This window comes from Homo sapiens, chromosome 2, assembly GCF_000001405.40.
Source record: "Homo sapiens chromosome 2, GRCh38.p14 Primary Assembly".
In the NCBI taxonomy this organism is placed as follows: Eukaryota; Metazoa; Chordata; class Mammalia; order Primates; family Hominidae; genus Homo; species Homo sapiens.
Window position 1 is genome coordinate 37,375,265 of NC_000002.12, and position 19,962 is coordinate 37,395,226.

The following is a 19,962-nucleotide window of genomic DNA, read 5'->3' on the forward strand; positions in this document are numbered from 1 at the left end:
GATGATATTAAAACAGAATGAAATGAAGTTTTAATGAGGAACCTAAACATTAGTCGACAGTACTGCATACATAATTATAAGCCTAAATGATAAGCTCCTTTGGAGGCAAAATGAAATTAATAAGAGATCTACTATAATCTGTTGAGTTCACATTAGTTGAATTATTTTTAGAGGAGGTTGGTGGATATGTTGAAATGGGATAAAAGAAAAAATAAAACCATAAGCAGCTTAATTCAGTGAAGGTTTTCTTCCTTTGAAAAGACATATCCTCAAATTCTACTCACTAAGAGTTTGCACTGATATAGGAAAAGCAGCCATGATGTCATAAACGGAGACATTTTAAGGCATTAACCTGATATTAGTCTCTGAAATATGCTCTGTATAATTCATGTCAGTCAGAAATATTACTTTCTAAAAATTATAGCTGCAAAGGCAGTGCTCCATAAACATCAGGTTGCATTTGGAATTTTTCTATGTGCATTTTGGAGCATTTTACTGCCCCTAAGAGAACAATTTGTACGTTTTGTCTGTTATTGTCAATCCTGCAATATGTAGGGCTATTTTTCTTCTTCAAGAGAAATGAGTTCAAAGGAAAATATTCATAAAAGAGTATTCATAACCTTGGCATCTAAAAAAATCATGAGCCTGTTATTGTAGCTCGAGGGTTGTGGCTGGAAGAGAAAAGACAGATCCTTCAAAAAGGAGAAATGTTTTAGATGGCAAAGCAGTTGTCATTAAGAACAAAGCAGCCCATGTTTTCAGCTCCAACTTCAAATCCTTAAGCAGTTTATTTCATGAAGCTTCTTTCTTCCATCAAAGAAATACATTCATTATGGTGCTACAGCAAAATCATGTGAAAACTGAACGTTTCCTCAATCAACTTGGCCCAGCTGGAGGTGATTACTTTGTGTAAAGGAGGGACGATGGACACGATTCAAGACGCTTCCATTTCTTTAACGTACAGGCAGCCCTGCAGGAGGCTTGGTCACAGTATATTCTGCGGAAAATCAAGGCTCAGTTTCTGTGCAAGACCTGAATCTGAGGAACGAATGTGGGAGGGGGGAATAGAAGAAATAAAGAGAAGATGAGGGAGACTATTCAGGGCAGCTGCAGTAATTTAAAGCAAAGCTAAAGTAGAAAATTTGGGGGAAATTATTTAAATTTGCTATTCATCTTAAGTCATGAGGCTGTGCTTTCAGAGCCAGCCTCCCGCTAACTTTTGGCTTCAAAGATGAATGAACAAAAGATTGAGGTTTCACTCTCAGTTTCAGGGCCACTTTTTACGTAGCCTGAAATTCTAAAAGTAGTTTTGAAGTGGTTTAACTGCCTCACCTTACTTCCCTTTTGTCTATCGCCTCTGTGTCTTTTATGGTACATCTTTTCCATCCCTCAAGTAGTGAAATTACTGCTTTGTTGCAAGGGGCAGATAGCATTGTGTAAAGCTACTGCTGTGTTCCAAGGGGCTGAGGTGGAGAGAAAAGGTTGTTAGGTGGTTGAGCCAGTAGGGTGGCATAGGATACCCCTCAAATGCTCCTACACATGAACATTGGCCCCAGGCTCCTGGCAAGACATCCAGCAGCAATAATTTATGACAGTTTTATAGAGAGCTGGGATGAAAGGACTGTCTTGTGTCATGGCTGTATTCCTCAGCCGGAATTTGGTTGGCGTACGCACGCAATGTGAAGTCATCTTATTGTGCTCATATTTCAAAGGCAACACATGGAACAGTGCCCACTCTCCTGACATATCTGAATTTGCCAGCGAAGAGTTTAGACCGTTTGTTTGAGCATTAACATTAAGAGCACAAAATTGCCAAGAAGGGAAAACAGCATGGCTTAAAGCAAACAAAACAAAACAAAACAAAAAACCCCTAAATTCACAAAGGTTACAAAGGTAATATGAAAATAGATTTAAAAACTCATAAATTATCAACAGCACTGGAAACTTTATTCTCTTACACTTACTGAGCACTGTGTGGTACAGGAGGTCCTTGGCACTCATGGATTTAACATTTGTGGTTTTGGTTAACAAAGAATGACATGTAGTAAGTGACATGAGCTAAGAGTTTGGCGTGGAGAAGTAAACGAGCATAGCTGACTACGAGCCACCAGTTTCACTGTTGTTCTCTAGTCATCCTTGCAGTAACACTTGGGAAGTGATAAACCCCATTTCTTTGTAAAAATGAAGCCCTCCTCCAAGCCAGCTGCTTTTTCTGGAGATGTTATTGAGAGGTCTAGAAAAATGCTGGCTACAGTGAGTAGCTTTATAAGTGATTTTAATCCTTTACAAATAGATAAATTAATGCTAGGAAAAGATAACTTTAAAACTTCAGTTTTAAAACTTTATTTAATGAGGAAAATTGTAAGCAACAATGGTATTCAAAAGCACTTAGGATATTTTCCTCGAGAATGTTAAAGCTCCATTTTAGGTTATGTTAGAATGATTCCGTATCAAGTAACTGATTGTGATCATCCTTTCATAGGTTTACCCATAGAGCTGTATATTAGCATCCTCATTTTACAAATAAGTGAACACAGAGTTTAAATTATTCTCAGTTGATGCTAAGACTAGACTCTAGGGAACTTAATTTCTCATACATGACATGGCTGATTTCAGCTCGATTAGAGGGGACCTTAGAGATTTTCTACTTCACTGGCTTACTGGTTTTCAGCTACACCCAGGGGGCATTTGAAAATATGTGGTGTGTGTGTGTGTGTGTGTGTGTGTGTGTGTGTGTATGCCTTTCTGTGCTTATGTAGTGGAATGGGTGGTGAATGTTTGTCATGAAGACTGAGGGGTGCTTCTGGAATTTAGTGGTTAGGGGCAAAAATGAATGTTCAGGACTGTTTGCACACTAGAGAATTGTCTCACCCCAAAAGCCAATGGTGCCTCCACAGCACTGAGTAGTTTTCAACATTCTCATTTTAAAGGTTTAGCTATCAAGATCCAGAGAGGATGGATCACTTAAGATTCCATTGGTTTGCAAGTGACAGAAAATTCAAACTTACCTGAGCAAAAAACGAAATTTATTTCATGTCTCTGACTTCAGACACAGTTGACCCCAGAACCCTGTCTCTTGTCTATCTGCTCTGCCCTCCTCTGGGTAGGCATTAAACTTAGGGAAGTACTTCCTTCTGGGGCAAGATGGCTGTTAGTAGCCCCAGGTTCATACTCCCATCACTCCAGTTTCAGTGCAAGGTGAGTACCTGTCCTCTGAGCAACAGTTCCACAAAGTCCTTGGCCTGACTGCCATTGGCCCAAGTGGAGCTCTGGGACCTTTGCTGATTCAGTCTCTGGGCTGGTGGATGGAATGCACTGATTGACTTTGGCCTGTGGCTCACGCCCCTCCCTATAGCTGGGAGAAGTGTCAGCTTCACCAAACCACAGGAATGAAGGCAGGGAGGAGGCGGTTGTCCAAAGGAAGATCTAGAAAAAGAGTGCCGTACAAGCAAGAGCAACAAACGTCCATTACAGTAGGTAAGCGAGTTGGGTGACGTATGTACGATCCTAAGGCATGGTACCACATTGCCTTTCTTTTTTTCTTTTTATTTTTTTTGAGATGGAGTCTCGCTCTGTTGTCCAGGCTGGAGTGCAGTGGCATGATCTTGGCTCACTGCAACCTCTGCCTCCCAGGTTCAAGTGATTCTCCTGCCTCAGCCTCCCAAGTAGCTGGAATTACAGGCATGTGCCACCATCACTTGGCTAATTTTTATATTTTTAGTAGAGACGGGGTTTCACCATTTTGGCCAGGCTGGTCTTCAACTCCTGGCCTCAAGTGATCCACCCACTTTGGCTTCTGAAAGTGCTGGAATTACAGGTGTGAGCCACCGTGACCGGCCTGCTTTTCTTTTATTTATATATTGTGTGGACATTATAATGTGCTGTTAGAATGGAGATATACTTGGTCCTTCATCGCAGTTCATAAACTACAGGGTAAAGGTTTTGGAAGAAGAGCATAGGAGTTATAAGGTAGACTATGCTTCCTGCTTAAAAATATGAATTAGGCTGGGAATGGTGGCTTATGTCTATAATTCCAGCACTTTGGGAAGCTAAGGTGGGAGGATTGTTTAGGCCAGGAGTTGGAGACCAGCCTGGGCAACATAGCAAGATTCCATCTTTACAAAAATAAAAAAAAGTAGCTAGGCATGGTGACTCTTGCCTGTAGTCCCAGCTACTTGGGAGGCTGAGGTGGGAGGATCACTTGAGACCAGGAGTTCGAGGCTGCAGTGAGCTATAATCACACTATTGCACTCCAGCCTGGGCCACAGGACAAGACTTTGTCTCAAAAACAAAAATAAAAAAATCAGAATTAGAAGATTTCTAAATTCAGCTGTTTATGCTTCATTTCCTTGCAGTTGGATTCTGGTGTTGGAAATGGGAGTTTGTCAAAGGAAAACAAAGTTGCTTCACATAAGCTCAGGTTTTCTTCAGGATCATTGTATTTCTCCAGACCTATAAACAAGTGATAGAGCTTAGAAAGTTTCATCCAAGGAAGGAAGAGCACCGCTGGATATTTAAACTTGTTAACATTTCACCTTGATAGAAGGCAGGGGGATTACAGTCTGTAGGAAACCAAGAAAAATATAGGTTACTTAGGAATTGACCAGGACAAGTAAGCTTCTCTGCTACCAGAGGCTGGCAGTCATGGACAAGACCTTGTCCAGACATGGCCTGGGGCCAGGCCGACCTTGAAGCGGATGAAGATGAGGTTGGCAGAAGGAAGGAAGGGTTTGTTGACTCACTGTGAATGTTTCAGTCCAGCAGTTCTCTTCAAAGTCAGAGTTCAAGGCAGCACTTTGATCAAATATAAGCTTCTTACACCACTCCTCAGAGGCCGATAAATGTTATCAGGCCAATGTGTGAGGACCAGCCATGTCATTGGTCCTCATCAAGGTCATTATCAGACCACACCGTGGGGTGGAGTCTGAACTGAGATGGTTGTTCAGCGGCTGGGACCAAGAGAGTAGAATCCAAGCACTTTGAGGTTAAAACAGGCCTTATAAACCATCTACTCCAGGGAAGTCCAATCTTTTAGCTTCCCTGGGCCACAGTGGAAGATGAAGAGTTGTCTTGGGCCACACCTAAAAACACTAATGCTAGTGATAGCTGGTGAACTTAAAGGATTTGCAAAAATGTCCCATGATGTGTGTGTTTGTGTGTGTGTTTTTTTTAGATGTGGTCTTCCTCTGTTGCCTGTTGCTCAGGCAGGAGTGCAGTGGCACAATCTCAGCACACTGCAAACTGTGCTTCCCCAGTTCAAGTGATTCTCTTGCCTCAGCCTCCAGAGTAGCTGGGATTACAGGCGTGCACCACCACACCCAGCTAATTTATATATAAATATATTTGTGTGTGTGTGTGTGTGTGTGTGTGTGTGTAATATATGTATTTTATTTTTGCTTAAGTTTTATATTTCAGGAATTTATTTTTAAAGTTTTCCTAAGGACATCTTGCCTTGAATAGTGTTGGCACAGATTTTATTATACTAACATTTCTGCTACTAACAATCATAAATGTCAAACAAGACATATAAAATAGTTATTTGAAAGCATAGGATAGTGACAAGCAGGCAGATACTCGAGGGAATAAAATGATTGAAAAAAAGGAAATATACTAGTTGCAATCCATATTTACATGTTTTTCCCCCACTCTCAAAAATGGCTGGGAATTGAAAAAGGAATCCAGAAAAAGAGGAAGTCCACAGAAGGTAGAAACTCCAAAATCTGCATACATATTCTCTGCATACATCAAATCTTTCATGCGCGTCCATGTGAAGAGACCACCAAACCTTTGTGTGAGCAACAAGGCTGCTTATTTCACCTGGGTACAGATGGGCTGAGTCCGAAAAGAGAGTCAGCAAAGGGAGATGGGGTGGGGCTGTTTTATAAGATTTGGGTAGGTAAAGGAAAATTACAGTCAAAGGGGGGTTGTTCTCTGGCGGGCAGGAGTGGGGGGTCACAAGGTGCTCAGTAGGGGAGCTTTTGAGCCAGGATGAGCCAGAAGGAATTTCACAAGATAATGTCATCAGTTAAGGCAGGAACAGGCCATTTTCACTTCTTTTGTGGTGGAATGTCATCAGTTAAGGCAGGAACCGGCCATCTGGATGTGTAGGTGCAGGTCACAGGGGATATGATGGCTTAGCTTGGGATCAGAGGCCTGACATTCCTGTCTTATGTTAATAAGAAAAATAAAACGAAATAGTGGTAAAGTGTTGGGACGGTGAAAATTTTCGGGGGTGGTATGGAGAAATAATGGGAGATGTTTCTCAGGGCTGCTTCGAATGGGATTAGGGGTGGCCTGGGAACCTAGAGTGGGAGAGATTAAGCTGAAGGAAGATTTTGTGGTAAGGGGTGGTATTGTGGGATTGTTAGAAGAAACATTTGTCGTGTAGAATTATTGGTGATGGCCTGGATACGGTTTTGTATGAATTGAAAAACTAAATGGAATAACTTCTAAACAGGTATTAAAGGACTAGGAATCGGGAGGACCTAGGACATCTAATTAGAGAGTGCCTAAGGAGGTTCAGCATAGCCTTGCCAGCAAAGAGTATTTATTTTAAGAGTTAAGAGTGGCGGTTTGGGGATAGCACCAGGAAATATCAGCTGTGATGGCTTGGAGAAACCGGCAGTGTAAAAAAAGCAGGACATTTATGAGTAGTTGAGAACGGTGAATAGGAGTCTGACTAGACAGAAGATAGTAGGGATGACAAGTTTTTTGGGGCACAGTCTAAGTTGGTCTGGTGTCTGGAATGAGACTGGGGCTTAATAAAAAGGAGCATCTATACAGGAGCTTAAATGGGCTGTACCTTGTAGCATTCCGAGGACAGGCCTGAATTCTGAGAAGGGCAAGAGGTGAAAGTACTGTCTAATCTTTTTTAAGTTGGAGGCTGAGCTTGGTGAGGTGTGTCTTTAAAGACCATTAGTCTGTTCTACCTTTCCTGAAGATTGAGGACCATAAGGGATATAAAGGTTTCACTGAATACTAAGAGCCTGAGAAACTGCTTGGGTGATTTGACTAGTAAAGGCTGGTCTGTTATCAGACTGTATAGAGGTGGGAAGGCTAAACTGAGGAATTATGTCTGACAGAAGGGAAGAAATGACCGTGGTGGCCTTCTCAGACCCTGTAGGAAAGGCCTCTACCTATCCAGTGAAAGCGTCTACCTAGACTAAGGTATTTTTGTTTACTGACTCGGGGCATGTGAGTAAAGTCAATTTGCCAGTCCTGGGCGGGGGCAAATCCTTGAACTTGATGTGCAGGGAAGGTGGAACTGCCATCAATAAACTAAATGTGATCAGGGTGAGGAACAGGGAAGAAGCCAATATGGGGAAATGGGGTGAATGTCAGGTGGATCAGAGAGATACAGTCATGAGGGTCAGGTGTGGTATCCGGAATAATGTGGGAGGCCGGATTGAAGTCCGGGCCAGGAACAATAGTAATTGTGAGAGACTCAACAAAGAGTGAGTACAGCTGAAGGAGCCAGGAAGCAGAAAGTACATGCCTCAGGTGTGAGGAAGAAAATAGATTTTGGAAGTTATGAGAGCTGCAGAGAGTGAGTTGAGCATAGTTTGTGATTTTGAGGGCCTCTGAAACTATTAGGGCGGTGGCAGCCGCTGCACGGAGACATGATGGCCAGCCTAAAACAGTAAGGTCAAGTTGTTTGGACAAAAAGGCTACAGGACGTGATCCTGGTCCTGGTGTAAGAATTCTGACTGCACAGCCCTGCACTTCAGCTGTGGGTAATGAAAAGGGTTGGGATGAGTCAGGGAGACCTAGGGTGGGGGCAGTCTTTAAAGCTGTCTTCAAGGAATGGAAAGAGGAGTGGGGAAAGGATTTAGGATCTATGGGGTCAGTAGGTTTCCTTTTGTGAGTTTATATAATGGTTTTGTTAGGATGGCAAAACCAGGTATCTAAAGTTAAAAGTATCAACCATGCCTAGGAAGGAAAGGAGTTGTTGTTTTGTAGAAGGTGCTGGGGTTTGAGAGATCAGTTGGACACAATCAGCATGGAGAGCACGTGTGTTTTTATGAGAATTATGCCGAGATAGGTAACAGATGAGGATGAAATTTGGACTTGACTGAAGTAATGGGGGCTGTCTGTGAAGCCTTGCGGCAGTACAGCCCAGGTAATTTGCTGAGCCTGATGGGAGTCAGGGTCAGTCCAGGTGAAAGCGAAGAGAGGCTGGGATGAAGGGTGTAAAGGAATAGTAAAGAAAGCATGTTTGAGATCCAGAACAGAATAATGGATTGTGGAGGGAGGTATTGAGGATAGGAGAGTATATGGGTTTGGCACCACGGGGTGGGTAGGCAAAACAATTTGGTTGATAAGGCGCAGATCCTGAACTAACCTGTAAGCCTTGTCTGGTTTTAGGACAGGTGAAATGGGGGAATTGTAAGGGGAGTTTTTAGGTTTTAAAAGGCCATGCTGTAGCAGGCGAGTGATAACAGGCTTTAATCCTTTTAAAGCGTGCTGTGGGATGGGATATTGGTGTTGAGCGGGGTAAGCATGAATAGGTTTTAATGAGATGGTAAGGGGTGCATGATCGGTCGCCAAGGAGGGAGTAGAGGTATCTTATACTAGTGGGCTAAGGTGGGGAGATACAAGGGGAGGACGTGAAGGAGGCTTTGAACTGGGGGGAAAAAAGCGGCATGTAGCCCAGGAATAGTCAGGGAAGCAGATAATTTAAAGTGTCTCGGCCTAATAAGGGAACTGGGCAGGTGAGGATAACTAAAAGGAGTGCTTAAAAGAGTATTGTCTAAGTTGGCACCAGAGTTGGGGAGTTTTAAGAGGTTTAGAAGCCTGGCCATCAATACCAACAATAGTTATGGAGGCAAGGGAAACAGGCCCTTGAAAAGAAGGTAATGTGGAGTGGGTAGCCTCCATATTGATTAAGAAGGGGACAGACTTACCTTCCACTGTGAGTTACCCAGAGAGTCTGTGATGGTCCTGTAGGCTTTCGAGGCAATCGGGCAGTCTCAGTCTTCAGCTGCTAAGCCGAGAAGATCTGGGAAGGAGTCAGAGAGCCTTGGGCCAGAGTTCCAGGGCCTCTGGGAGTGGCTGCTAGGTGAGTTGAACAGTCCGATTTTCAGTGGCACAGATGGGACACAGCTTGGGAGGAATCCTGGGCTGTGGGCATTCCTTGACCCAGTGGCCAGATTTCTTGCACTTGTAGCAAGCTCTTGTGGGAGGAGGTTCTGGAGGAACGCCTTGCAGCTGCCGTCAGGCGTTTGGAAGTTCTTGTGTGCTGGAGATGTGGCTGGGGTTTGGCTCACAGTGGAGGCAAGGAATTGCAACACAGAAATATGTTGCTACTTGGCTGCTGCTACTCTATTATTGTTCACCTTGAAGGTGAGGTTAATTAAGTCCTGTTGTGGGGTTTGAGGGCTGGAATTTAATTTTTGGAGATTTATTTAATGTCGGGAGCAGATTGGGTAAAAAATAAAATGTATATTGAGAATAAGACGGCCTTTTGACCTTTCAGGGTCTAGGGCTGTAAAGCGTCTCAGGGCTGCTGCCAAATGAGCCGTGAGCTGGGCTGGGTTTTTATATTTGATGAAAGAGCCTAAACGCTAACTGATTTGGGAGAGGTCGGATAAAGAAAAAGGAGCATCAACCTTGACTATGCCTTTAGCTCCAGCCACCTTTTTAAGAGGAAATTGCTGGGCAGGTGGGAGACGGCTAGTTGCGGAATGAAACTGTAAGCTGGACTGGGTGTGAGGAGGGGAGGTGATAAAAGGATTATAGGGTGGAGGAGCCGAGGCTGAGGAAGAATTGGGACCTAGCTCGGCCTGGCGAGGAGGGGAGAGGTCAGATGGGTCTGTAGAAAAGGAAGATTAGAAAGACCCAGCAATGCTTGGGGTTGGGACTGAGGGGACAGGCGGAAGGGAAAGAAGGAAGATTTGGGATGAGTTGCATTGGGAACAGAGGGGAGGGACTGATATGTAAAAGAATGCCTGGACGTTAGGCACCTCAGACCATTTGCCCATTTTACGACAAGAATTATCTAGATCTTGTAGGATGGAAAAATTGAAAGTGCCGTTTTCTGGCTATTTAGAGCCATTGTCAAGTTTGTATTGGGGCTAAGCGGTGTTGCAGAAGAAAATAAGATGCTTAGATTTTAGGTCAGGCGAGAGTTGAAGAGGTTTTAAGTTCTTAAGAACACAGGCTAAGGGAGAAGAAGGAGGAATGGAGGGTGGAAGCTTGCCTATAGTGAAGGAGGCAAGGTTAAGAAAAAGGTAGAGACACGGAGAAGCGGGTGGGGAGCAGCCCTGGGCTGCAATGTGGGTGAGCAACAAGGCTGTTGATTTCACCTGGGTGCAGGCGGGCTGAGTCCGAAAAGAGTCAGCCATTTTTGTATTTTTAGTAGAGATAGGATTTCGCCATATTGGCCAGGCTGGTCTCAAAATCCTGACCTCAGGTGATCCACCCACCTCAGCCTTCCAAAGTACTGGGATTACAGATGTGAGCCACTGCAGCCAGCCCATTATGTTTTAAGAAAGTTTATGGTTTTGTATTGGGCCACATTCAAAGCCATCCTGGGTCGCATGCCACCGGTGGGCTGCGGGTTGGACAAGCTTGATTTACTCTATGGTTTTCACCCTCAGCTTTAGATTCTCCTTGGGGCTGCACTGCACGGACGGTCCCTGTCCACGTTTTTGCCTCTTTCCCAGTGGTAGAATGTACTCCAACAGTTTTCAACGTTTTTGTATTTTAAGTAGTAAAGTCCTTTCTTTGAAGGATATCTCACACGAAAACCCCAAAGATAAAAGCAGTGCAGATCTGGTTGAAGGTAGGAGAGTGGCCTAGAACTTTATTGGTGAAACCTTATCCAAACCCCCCAGCACACTCACCCTGACGCACTGCAGCCGGGACTCTTCAGCACCTCCCTGTAAGCTGGTGCTCTGCAGACCTTAGCTTGGAGCTCCGATCTAATCTCCAGTCTCTTTTTACTCAGTTCTCAGAGGCAATGACTTGGTGGATCAGTCAATCCTTGGGTTCTAGGTTACCACTTTCACCTGGTTCTCCTACCTTTCTAGTCTCTCCTTCTGTCTCCCTTGCTGTGTCTTTTTTTGTCTTTCTGACTCTTAAAAATCAGAATATTCTGGAGCTTAGTTCTTGGACCTCTTCTCCAGCTATACTCACTCCCCAGCTGATCACATCTAGCCCCATGGTTTGAAGATTATGTGTAGATAACTTCCAAATTAGTATCTCCAGTCTCAATCTCTCCCAAAACTCCAAACATCTCCACTGGGGTGTCCCAAAGACACTTCAAATGAGGAAATGCAAAACTGAACTCACAGTTCCGTGCATCCTCCCGAACCTTCTTCTTCCTACATTAGTACATGGACACTTTTTAAGCCAGGTACTGACTCTTCTTTCTCAGCTCTGGACATTATCAAGTTCTATAGGCTCTCCTTTGTACCCCAGGTCTGTCCCCTTTGAGCAGTGCTCCCCCTCTGGGTCAAGTCACCATCATCTCTTCCTGGGTCCCCCTGCTCCACCTTGCTTCTGTAGTCTCCTATCACAGGGACTAGAACGATCCTTTTAAATTGGAATCAGGGGCTGGGTGTGATGGCTCATGCCTGTAATCCCAGCACTTTGGGATGCATAGGTGGGCTGATCACCTGAGGTCAGGAGTTGGAGACCAGCCTGGCCAACATGGCAAAACCCGTCTCTACTAAAAATGCAAAAATTAGCTGGGCATGGTTGTTCCACCTGTAATTCCAGCTACTCAGGAGGCTGAGGCAGGAGAATTACTTGAACCCAGGAGGCAGAGGTTGCAGTGAGCTGAGATCACACCACTGCACTTCAGCCTGGGCAACACAGTGAAATTCTGTCTCAAAAAAAAAAAAATTGCAATCAGGTCATATTACAGCTCTGAAATGGCTTTTCCTTTCTCTCAGAATAGGATCCAGTGTCATTTCTATGGCTGACAAGGTTCCATATGACCAGGCTCCTCCATCTTTCTGGTCCCTCCTCCTATGGCTCTCTTCCTACATCACCTCTCCTGGCCACACTGGCCTCCTGGCTTTTCCCAAACAAGCTGAGCACAGTCCTGAATCACTGCCTTTCTATGTGCTTGCTCCTCTGCCTGGAATGCTTTCCCCTAGATATTTGCGTCGGATGTGCCCACATTTCATCTGAGGTTTTGCTCAACTAATACTTAATTGGAGGGGCCTTCCCTGATCCCCTTCATCCTGTCCCCTGGACTTGCCCATTTTCCATCCTGGAGAGGTCTTAGTGACAACTTACGCTGTAAAGCCACCACCATCAATCACTTCATCCCCTAACGCTACACATTGCTTCTTCTTTCCCCAGAGATGAGGGTTAGACTTATGTTTGGTAGGAGCTGCAGCAGCTGCAACACTGAGGTCTGACTCAACTGAATCCAGGGAAGCTCTGGCTTCCCCAGCAGCTGCCCTGGGGGCCAGTGACACAACCCAGAAATACATACAGTTAATGTCCTGCACAGTAGACAAATCAATGGAAAGCAGGAGATAGGAAGAGACCGAGGGTTAATTGCTTACCCTTCCTCCCTCCAGTGGATTGTTTTGACATGCAGTGATTTTATTTGACCTCTCTGGAAGAGATGGAGATGGAGAAACAAGCTGTATTTGTGGCAAAGCTGGCCATCTTGGTAACACATCCCTTGTATTTGCCATTCTTCCTTTCCTGTCTCACTTCCTACTTTCCTTCACTTTTACTCCCCCTAAATTGCACCTTCTCTCATAAAGTCTAAGCCATGAGCTTTTGTTTCAGGCTCTGATTTCTAGGGGACTGTTATCTGTTTATTTGTGTGTTATCTCTCTCTCCTCTCTAGAATGTGAGCCCAGAAGAAGAGTAGGGAGTTTGTTTCGTTTACTGCTGTATCCTCAATGACCGGCCTAGTACTTGGAACATGGTAGATGCATGTTAAATACTTGTTGAATGAACTTCATGATGAGGAAACTTGTCTTTCCTAATCCTGGACCTTAAGCCAGGATGATTCACTGAAGCCAGGATGGTTCACTTGTAAGTCACCTGGTAAGTCCCACTCATCTGTGGCAATCCTTTGGTACCTCTTGCTTTGAATCTGCTCTTGATCTTGCTTCTGCTTCCTCCTCTCTCACCTGTGATATGCAACAGCCTCCCAATTGGACTCCCTGCAGCATTCCACCCTGCTTCATTCTAGACTTCATGCAACAGTCAGAGAAATGTTTTAAACACATTAATCAGGTCTCATTGCTATGCTGCATAAAACCCTGTGATGGTTTTTCACTGCACTGAGAATTAATATGAACTCCTTAACTATGGCTTACTATGGCCTACAAGGCCCTCCCCACTCAGAAACTCAACAATCTTTTTTTTTTTTTTTTTTTTTGAGACAGAGTCTCACTCTGTTGCCCAGGCTGGAGTGCAGTGGTGCAATCTCGGCTCACTTCAACCTCCACCACCTGGGTTCAAGCAATTCTCCTGTCTCAGCCTCCTGAATAGCTGGGATTACAGGCGCCCAACATCATGCCGGGCTAATTTTTTTTTTTGTATTTTTTGTAGAGACAGGGTTTCACCATGTTGGGCAGGCTGGTCTCAAACTCCTGACCTCAGGTGATCCACCTGCTTCAGCCTCCCAGAGTGCTGGGATTCTAGGCGTGAGCCACCGTGCCTGGCCCAGAAACTCAACATTCTACCACTCTTTCCCTCCCTCTCTGGCCTAAAATGCCATTGCCCTCTTTTGTTCCTTGAACTTACTAAGCAGTCCCCTGCCATAGGGAGGCTTCTGGACATCCTTATCCTCCACATGGGATTCTCCTTTAGTCCCGATTTACATTGCTGTCTCTTTCTTGGCCTTCTCACAGAGGCTGTTCCTCACATCCTCTTATCCAGAATAGGTCCTTCCCTGTATATTTCTATCTCAGCACTCTACTCATTTCTTTCTTTTTTCTTATCACAACTTGTCATTACAATATTGTTTTACTATGGGTGGGGGGCAGCCTGTTTTCATGATCAAATTGTAGGTTTCATGAGGGCAAGGACTATGTCTATGTTTTTCATCATTGTATTCCCAGCAACTTGGAGATATTTGTGTGTGTCAGAGGTTTAATACATACTTGGTGATTAAACAAATATTCAAGAACTGATCCAGCTTCTATTTCTCTGGCTTCAGGACTTGCCTCAAATGTCCCTTTATCACAGGCCTTCTCCAACTACCCTATATAAAATGTAACAGTGTATCTCCTGGCTTTTACTCTTGATTGTGGTGAGAGATTTGGTATCCTTGGTCTGGGCCTTTTGTGTTCTCTAAGAACCTGGTTTGCCCTCTGCCTCTTGGCTCTACTGGCTGCCATGAGCATCTACACCTCCCAGCTCCAGCTCTCAGGGCCCCTGTCCTCATTCAAGGCCTGCCCTGCTTCATCCTGGAGGAGATGGGGCAAACTCAGATACAGAGAGCTTTAGCAACTTGTTCAAGTTTATACAATAATGAAGATTGGGCCAGAAGTCAGGTTTTGGGATTTGCACCCAGTCTCATGCCTTTTCACTCTATTATGCTAATCCTGTATCTCTGTTTCAAATCGAAGTGACTCATTTTGAGTTTTCAGATGAACACTCCAAGTATTATGGAGTACCTGGTTATTTGAAGTAAAAAAAAAAAACAAAAAACCAAGAATTGAAGCTTCTAGCTAGACAAACAAAGCTTGAAGCACCAGACAGCTATTGAAGACCAAATCTACCCACAGGGCTGGAATTAGGCACCGAGGGAACAGATGCAGGGAGAGATCCAAGCTCACAGCCAGGAGCCAGATGCTGGGTGTAAGCTGTCTGTGCCTGTCCTCCTTTCCCAAGGCCCGCCAAAGGGAGGCTCTGAGCTTCAGAGTGGGGATCTAGACTTCAGTTGCCAGTAGGTTCTGAAAGTGCTGCCCTCAGGGAAATGGTGACTTAGAAACAGAACTGCAACAAGTTTCAGTTGAACTCCAGGGAATTCCCTAGGTATGCCTCTTGCCTCCTCCTCATCTCTCTCCTTCAAAAGAAGGACATTTGAGGAAGTCCCAGGGAAGAGAGATGAGAAATATGGTTATGAAATAAAGAGAAATGAAGAACCACAGTATGGAGTACTTTTCTGCATTGGGTAGGATTTGTGGGTGAGACAGAGAATTGGGTGGAGGGCAGAAGGCCAGAAGGAGTAGGCAGAGGAAGGAGGGGGTGTTGAACCTCCTTCAGGCATCGAGCGAGAAACCTGACCTCGGAATAGTCACACTTGATCTCCTTTTGGCTTCTGTGTACCAGCAAAGCCTTTAGGTTTAGTCTGTTTCCTCTGTGGCAGAAAAGGAAGCCCAAGACAATTTGCATAGGCAGCTCTCAAGCAAAGCCTCCCTCAAAGAGTTTCTGACTCATCCCCATGACTTCCTCCCCCATCTGTCAACAGGGGAAACTCCAGGTGGGAGGTTACATTTCCTGCCTCCCTGTTATGGACTAGTTTCCTTCCTGGGAGGTGAGGCAGAAGTGGAGGGGACTTTCTCCCTCCTCATCATCCCATGCCTTCTCTCTTCTCCCGGTTCCTCTCTATCAAACTCTATGTTCCCATTTTGAGCTGAGAATAAGGAACAGCAGAGTTGATTAGAAACATTTTAAAATCAAGTGATTAAACTCTGATAATGGCAGAATTTCAAACATGAGTCAGTATGTAAATCCAATTGTAAAGATGAAGCTTTGAAGATATTTCTGTGTTCTCAGAACCTCAGAAGTTAATTCCTAGACATTGCTTCCTCCTAAGGGCAACTTCAGCACATGGTCCACAAGGATATAGGGCAGGATCCTCATAGAGGTAGTGGGCTACATGTCTCAAGTTGTAGGATGCTCTGGGTCCTCAAGTCTATCTATCCTCTTCCTCGAGTTCTGCACATCATCTTCTACATGCTGCTGGGCTCCTGAAAGCAGCACAACACCCTGACGGGGAGCTTGTTTGAGCATTCATTCTTTCTGTGTTTTGATAGTGTTAGGTAGGCCACCATCTGTGGGTTCTGTTTAGATCCACAGTTCTTCCTCTGGACATGGGATGTATCAAAGCAGGAAAGAGGCTGCCCATCTGAGCTTTTCATGATGTCGCGGCTGTGGCTCTGGCTGTTACCAGAGCTATACAGGAAACCCAGGGAGAGGGCTTGAAATGGTTGGGCATCAGGTATAAAGAAAAAAGCACTCAGAAGTATGGAATTTGTTTACATTGGTTCAGGGAACCAAAGAAGATTCGAGAATAGAATGTTCTGTCCTGTGTGCCCACTGAAATTAGAATTGTATGGGATTTTCCTCCAACACCCTGGTGGCTATTTTCCAGTGTCTTTTGCTGATTCCTCTTCATCTTCAGACTTGTCAAGTTTGAAAGGCTCTAAGACTCAGTTCTTGTTCCTCTTCATTTCTCCATCTCAGTCCATTGTTGACCTCATCCAGCTTCAAGTCTTTAAATACCATGTATATGTTGGCAACTCCTGGAGCTCTCAAATGTTTTCTAGACTTGTATGTACAACGGCCTACTGAACAGTTCTACTTGAAGGTCAGATTCAGCAAGTTCCCACTGAACTCCTGGTCTCCTCCCCACAAATCTGCTTCAGACATTGTTGGATGGCAGTAGCTCCAACCTTCCTGTAGCCCAAAACATAGGAGTCATTCTTTTTATTGAGACATAATCTCGCTCTGTTGCTCAGGCTGGAGTGCAGTGGTGCAATCACGGCTCACTGCAACCTCCGCTCCCTGGATTCAAGCAATTCTCCTGTCTCAGCCTCCCTAGTAGTTGGGATTACAGGGGTGTGCCACCAAGCCCGGCTAATTTTTGTATGCTTCGTAGAGACAGGGTTTTGCCATGTTGGCGAGGCTGGTATCGAACTTCTGACCTCAAGTGATCCACCCACCTCGGCCTCCCAAAGTCCTGGGATTATAGGTGTGAGCCACCATGCCTGGCCTTGGAGTCATTCTTGATTCTTCTATTTCACATCCCACACCCAGTCAGAAGGTAGCCTGGCCAGGTCTATCTTCCAAATACATCCAGAATCCAATCACCTTCTACCACCCCCATTGCTGCTGCACTGGGTCCAAGCCACCATTATCTCTTACCTTGATAACTTTAACAGCCTCTTATCAAGGCTTCCTGGTTCTACCCTTGCCCCCTTCAGTCTATTCTTCATGCAGCAGGAAGAGCGGTTCTTTAAGGAATTAGGTCCCGTCATGTCACTCCTCTACTCAAAGCCCTGCAATAATTCCTTATCTCATTCAGAATAAATGCCCTTACAGTGGTCTGATTGGTCCTCTGTGATCTGTCCTTGAGCACCATTCTGACTTCATCTTTGACTAGTCTCCTCCATTGCTCACTCTTCCTTAGCCACAGTGGCCTACTTGCTGTTTCTTGAACATGTTAGTCTTAATCCTACCTCAGGACCTTTGCACAGGCTGTTCTCTCTGCCTGGAATATTTTCTCCCCACATACCTGCATGGCTATTTTTTAAAAAAATATTATTCCATTCCTTGCTGAACTGTAATTTTTCAACGATGTCTTGCTTGATCCCTCCCCTCAGTTTAAAGTTTTAATCTTGAGATTTTTTACTCTGTTCTACTTATTTCTGTATCACCCTCTAACATATGGTAAAATTTACCTATTTAATATGTTTGCTTTTTGTCTGGGCTTGTTGGCTTATACCTGTCATCTCAGCACTTTGGGAGGCTGAGGTAGGAGGATCACTTGAGCCCAGGAGTTCAAGATCGGCCTGGGCGACATAGTGAGATCTCGTCTCTACTAAAAAAAATAAATAAATAAAATAAAATAAAATAAAATAAAGCCAGGTGTGGTGGTGTGTACCTGTAGTCCCAGCTACTCAGGAGGCTGAGCTGAGAGGATTGCTTGAGCCCAGGAGTTCGAGGCTACAGCAAGCTATGATCACGCCACTGCACTCCAGCCTGGGCGTCAGAGTGAGACCCTGTTTCCCCAAAAATGTTTGTTTTATATTATTTGACTTTCCCATTGAAATATAAGTGCCACAAAGGCAGGGATTTTTGTTTTGCTTATTTGAACAGAGGCTGGCAATGGTGAGTTTGTTAAATGAGTGGATAAATAGCAATGGAATCAGGGATAGTCTCAAAAGAGAGGGCAAATGAAAGGTGGGCAAGTGTCCACAGAGCACCAGAGTTTAAGTTGTAGCTTGTTATGGTTGAGGACCAGAGAGATTTTAGGTTGTAACTGGAGATAACACTGTAGGCCAGAAAATTGTCAATCCACATGTCCTCTGGGGTCTGTTTCATGGTCATTGAGAATAAGCCAATCTGATTAAAAGAAAAATCAGGCATCCTATTAGTTAGACCCAGTGAACAGGCATGACCTCTAGATTATTCTCTTTTACCTTGCCTTGGTTATTGGGAGGCTACATCATATTTCATGATGCAAAGGGGAATGGATACTTGATTCTGTTTTTCTTCTTTTATGTGGACATAAAAAATGATAGGAAAAGTGAAAGGTTTTAGGGGGAAATGCTTTGTTCATAGAATTGCAGCTGGAGTGAGAAGAGAGCTGGAGTGAGCTAAACAGAGAACTTTTTTTTGTAGTGAATCTTATGTCCATGCATACTCAGTGGGTATGCTGACTTTTAAATTGTTTGTGATACTGGCATATACTACAGTCACTGCTATCACTACCTGTGCTAAGGCACAGCACCAGAGAAGTGACACCTTGGTACTGATAAAAAGCAAATCATTTGACTGTTTCAGGACCACAACCTGAGGGATCCTCAAACCCAGCTTCATCGTTCTGCCTCTGGTCTCATAACCTTTGACTTAGGTTCTGGTACCTCTGTTTCTTGCTAGCTTCTCCTTCAAGATGGTGCTTCTGACAATAGCACCTTATGGAGATGGTGACTGTCATGATCAGTAGCATCCCCTTTCACTCTTAAGAGTTCAAGTTAAGATGATAAAATGTGGGGGGCAACGTATATCTAGGGCTTAGCTTGGCTGGTGACCTTGGACTCCTCCAACTTGTGGGCTCTCTGCCTCCCACCCCTCTGCTCCCTCCCATTGGCTTTGGTGATGGCGAAAACTTGATTGTGTGGAAGTTCACTTTCCACAGAAATTCAAAGGTTCACCCAGTGCAGTTCAGAATATGTAATTTGGCCATTGAATAACAGGGTGGATTCAAAAGTTTCTGGTTACCAGCAATGCAGAAGTGGTGCTAAATGAGAACAGAAACCCCAGCCCACTCCCTGAGGTTTGAGTGACCAGGAACCACATTGGCTGGAAGACAATGCCATGGATCTTAGTATCTTGTGAAGAGACACTTGTGGTTTCTTGTTAGTTGTAACAGCAAGTCATGTTCCCCTTCTGAGACTTAGTGTCCCCATCTGCTAACTACAGGGACTCAGCCTAATGATTTGTTGGGTCCCTTTGTGCTCTAAGAGTCTGTGGAGCAGTACAGCCTATTATTTAAGATCCTTACTTTGGAGATAGAACCGAATTCAAATCCTGGCTCTGCGATGTAAAACCTGTTCAATTTTGATCAGGTTATAAGTTCAAGTTTCCCACGTGTAAAATGGAGATTATATTCATTCATAGGCTTTTTATGATGATTAAATGAAATAATATGTAAGAAAACACCTTGTGAAGTGGCTGGCACCTAATCACTCAGTGAAGGATACTGGCTACTATGACCCTGCATGTGATTCCCACGGGGTTGCTTTCAAAGCATATTATTTCATGTAAAGATTGCAACTGTGGGAGGTCAGTTGGGTGGCTATTGTCATCTTTATTTTTATCAATGAGAAAATTGAAGCTGAGAGAAGTCAAGTGACTTCCCTTTGGTTTCAGAGTTGGTGTGTGATAGAGCCAGGGCCTCTCCCGATACCGTGGGAGAAATAAGAGGTACATCAATCAGACATTCATTGAAGAGACAGAGACGGTTGTATGCACTTAGCCAGCAGGGAAGACCTTTTAATCAGTCATTTATGTATGAAAATTCTCTAGAGA

At 44.4% G+C, this 19,962-nt stretch overlaps 1 long non-coding RNA gene across 4 annotated transcripts, besides 6 other annotated features; it reads right to left on the reverse strand.

Moving 5' to 3' along the window:
- Positions 1–7: 7 nt before the first annotated feature.
- Positions 8–9,040, reverse strand: LOC107985868 (uncharacterized). Of its 4 annotated transcripts, none has more exons than XR_001739403.3 (3): positions 8,904–9,040; positions 1,333–1,463; positions 8–1,038 (listed from the first exon to the last, which is right to left on the reverse strand). It is a non-coding gene; the product is annotated as an uncharacterized LOC107985868 (long non-coding RNA). The 4 variants fall into 4 exon arrangements; XR_001739402.3 differs by lacking the exon at positions 8,904–9,040 and adding an exon at positions 3,207–5,823; XR_007086286.1 differs by lacking the exons at positions 1,333–1,463; positions 8,904–9,040 and adding an exon at positions 3,009–5,823.
- Positions 1,043–1,092: a silencer, noted in NCBI's record as "silent region_11358". NCBI's record gives its function as "represses an Ori minimal core promoter by ATAC-STARR-seq in GM12878 lymphoblastoid cells {active_cell/tissue: GM12878}" and the evidence as "EXISTENCE:reporter gene assay evidence [ECO:0000049][PMID:35858748]".
- Positions 1,123–1,182: a silencer, noted in NCBI's record as "silent region_11359". NCBI's record gives its function as "represses an Ori minimal core promoter by ATAC-STARR-seq in GM12878 lymphoblastoid cells {active_cell/tissue: GM12878}" and the evidence as "EXISTENCE:reporter gene assay evidence [ECO:0000049][PMID:35858748]".
- Positions 1,123–2,354: a biological region, named in NCBI's record as "BRD4-independent group 4 enhancer GRCh37_chr2:37603562-37604761".
- Positions 1,155–2,354: an enhancer, noted in NCBI's record as "BRD4-independent group 4 enhancer chr2:37603562-37604761 (GRCh37/hg19 assembly coordinates)". NCBI's record gives its function as "activates an origin of replication core promoter dependent on BRD2, P300/CBP, MED14 and CDK7 cofactors, and independent of BRD4, by STARR-seq in HCT116 cells {active_cell/tissue: HCT116}" and the evidence as "EXISTENCE:reporter gene assay evidence [ECO:0000049][PMID:35650434]".
- Positions 4,688–4,888: a silencer, noted in NCBI's record as "peak3659 fragment used in MPRA reporter construct". NCBI's record gives its function as "represses an SCP1 promoter by STARR-seq MPRAs in K562 erythroleukemia cells {active_cell/tissue: K562}" and the evidence as "EXISTENCE:reporter gene assay evidence [ECO:0000049][PMID:32103011]".
- Positions 14,840–15,029: an enhancer, noted in NCBI's record as "active region_15583". NCBI's record gives its function as "activates an Ori minimal core promoter by ATAC-STARR-seq in GM12878 lymphoblastoid cells {active_cell/tissue: GM12878}" and the evidence as "EXISTENCE:reporter gene assay evidence [ECO:0000049][PMID:35858748]".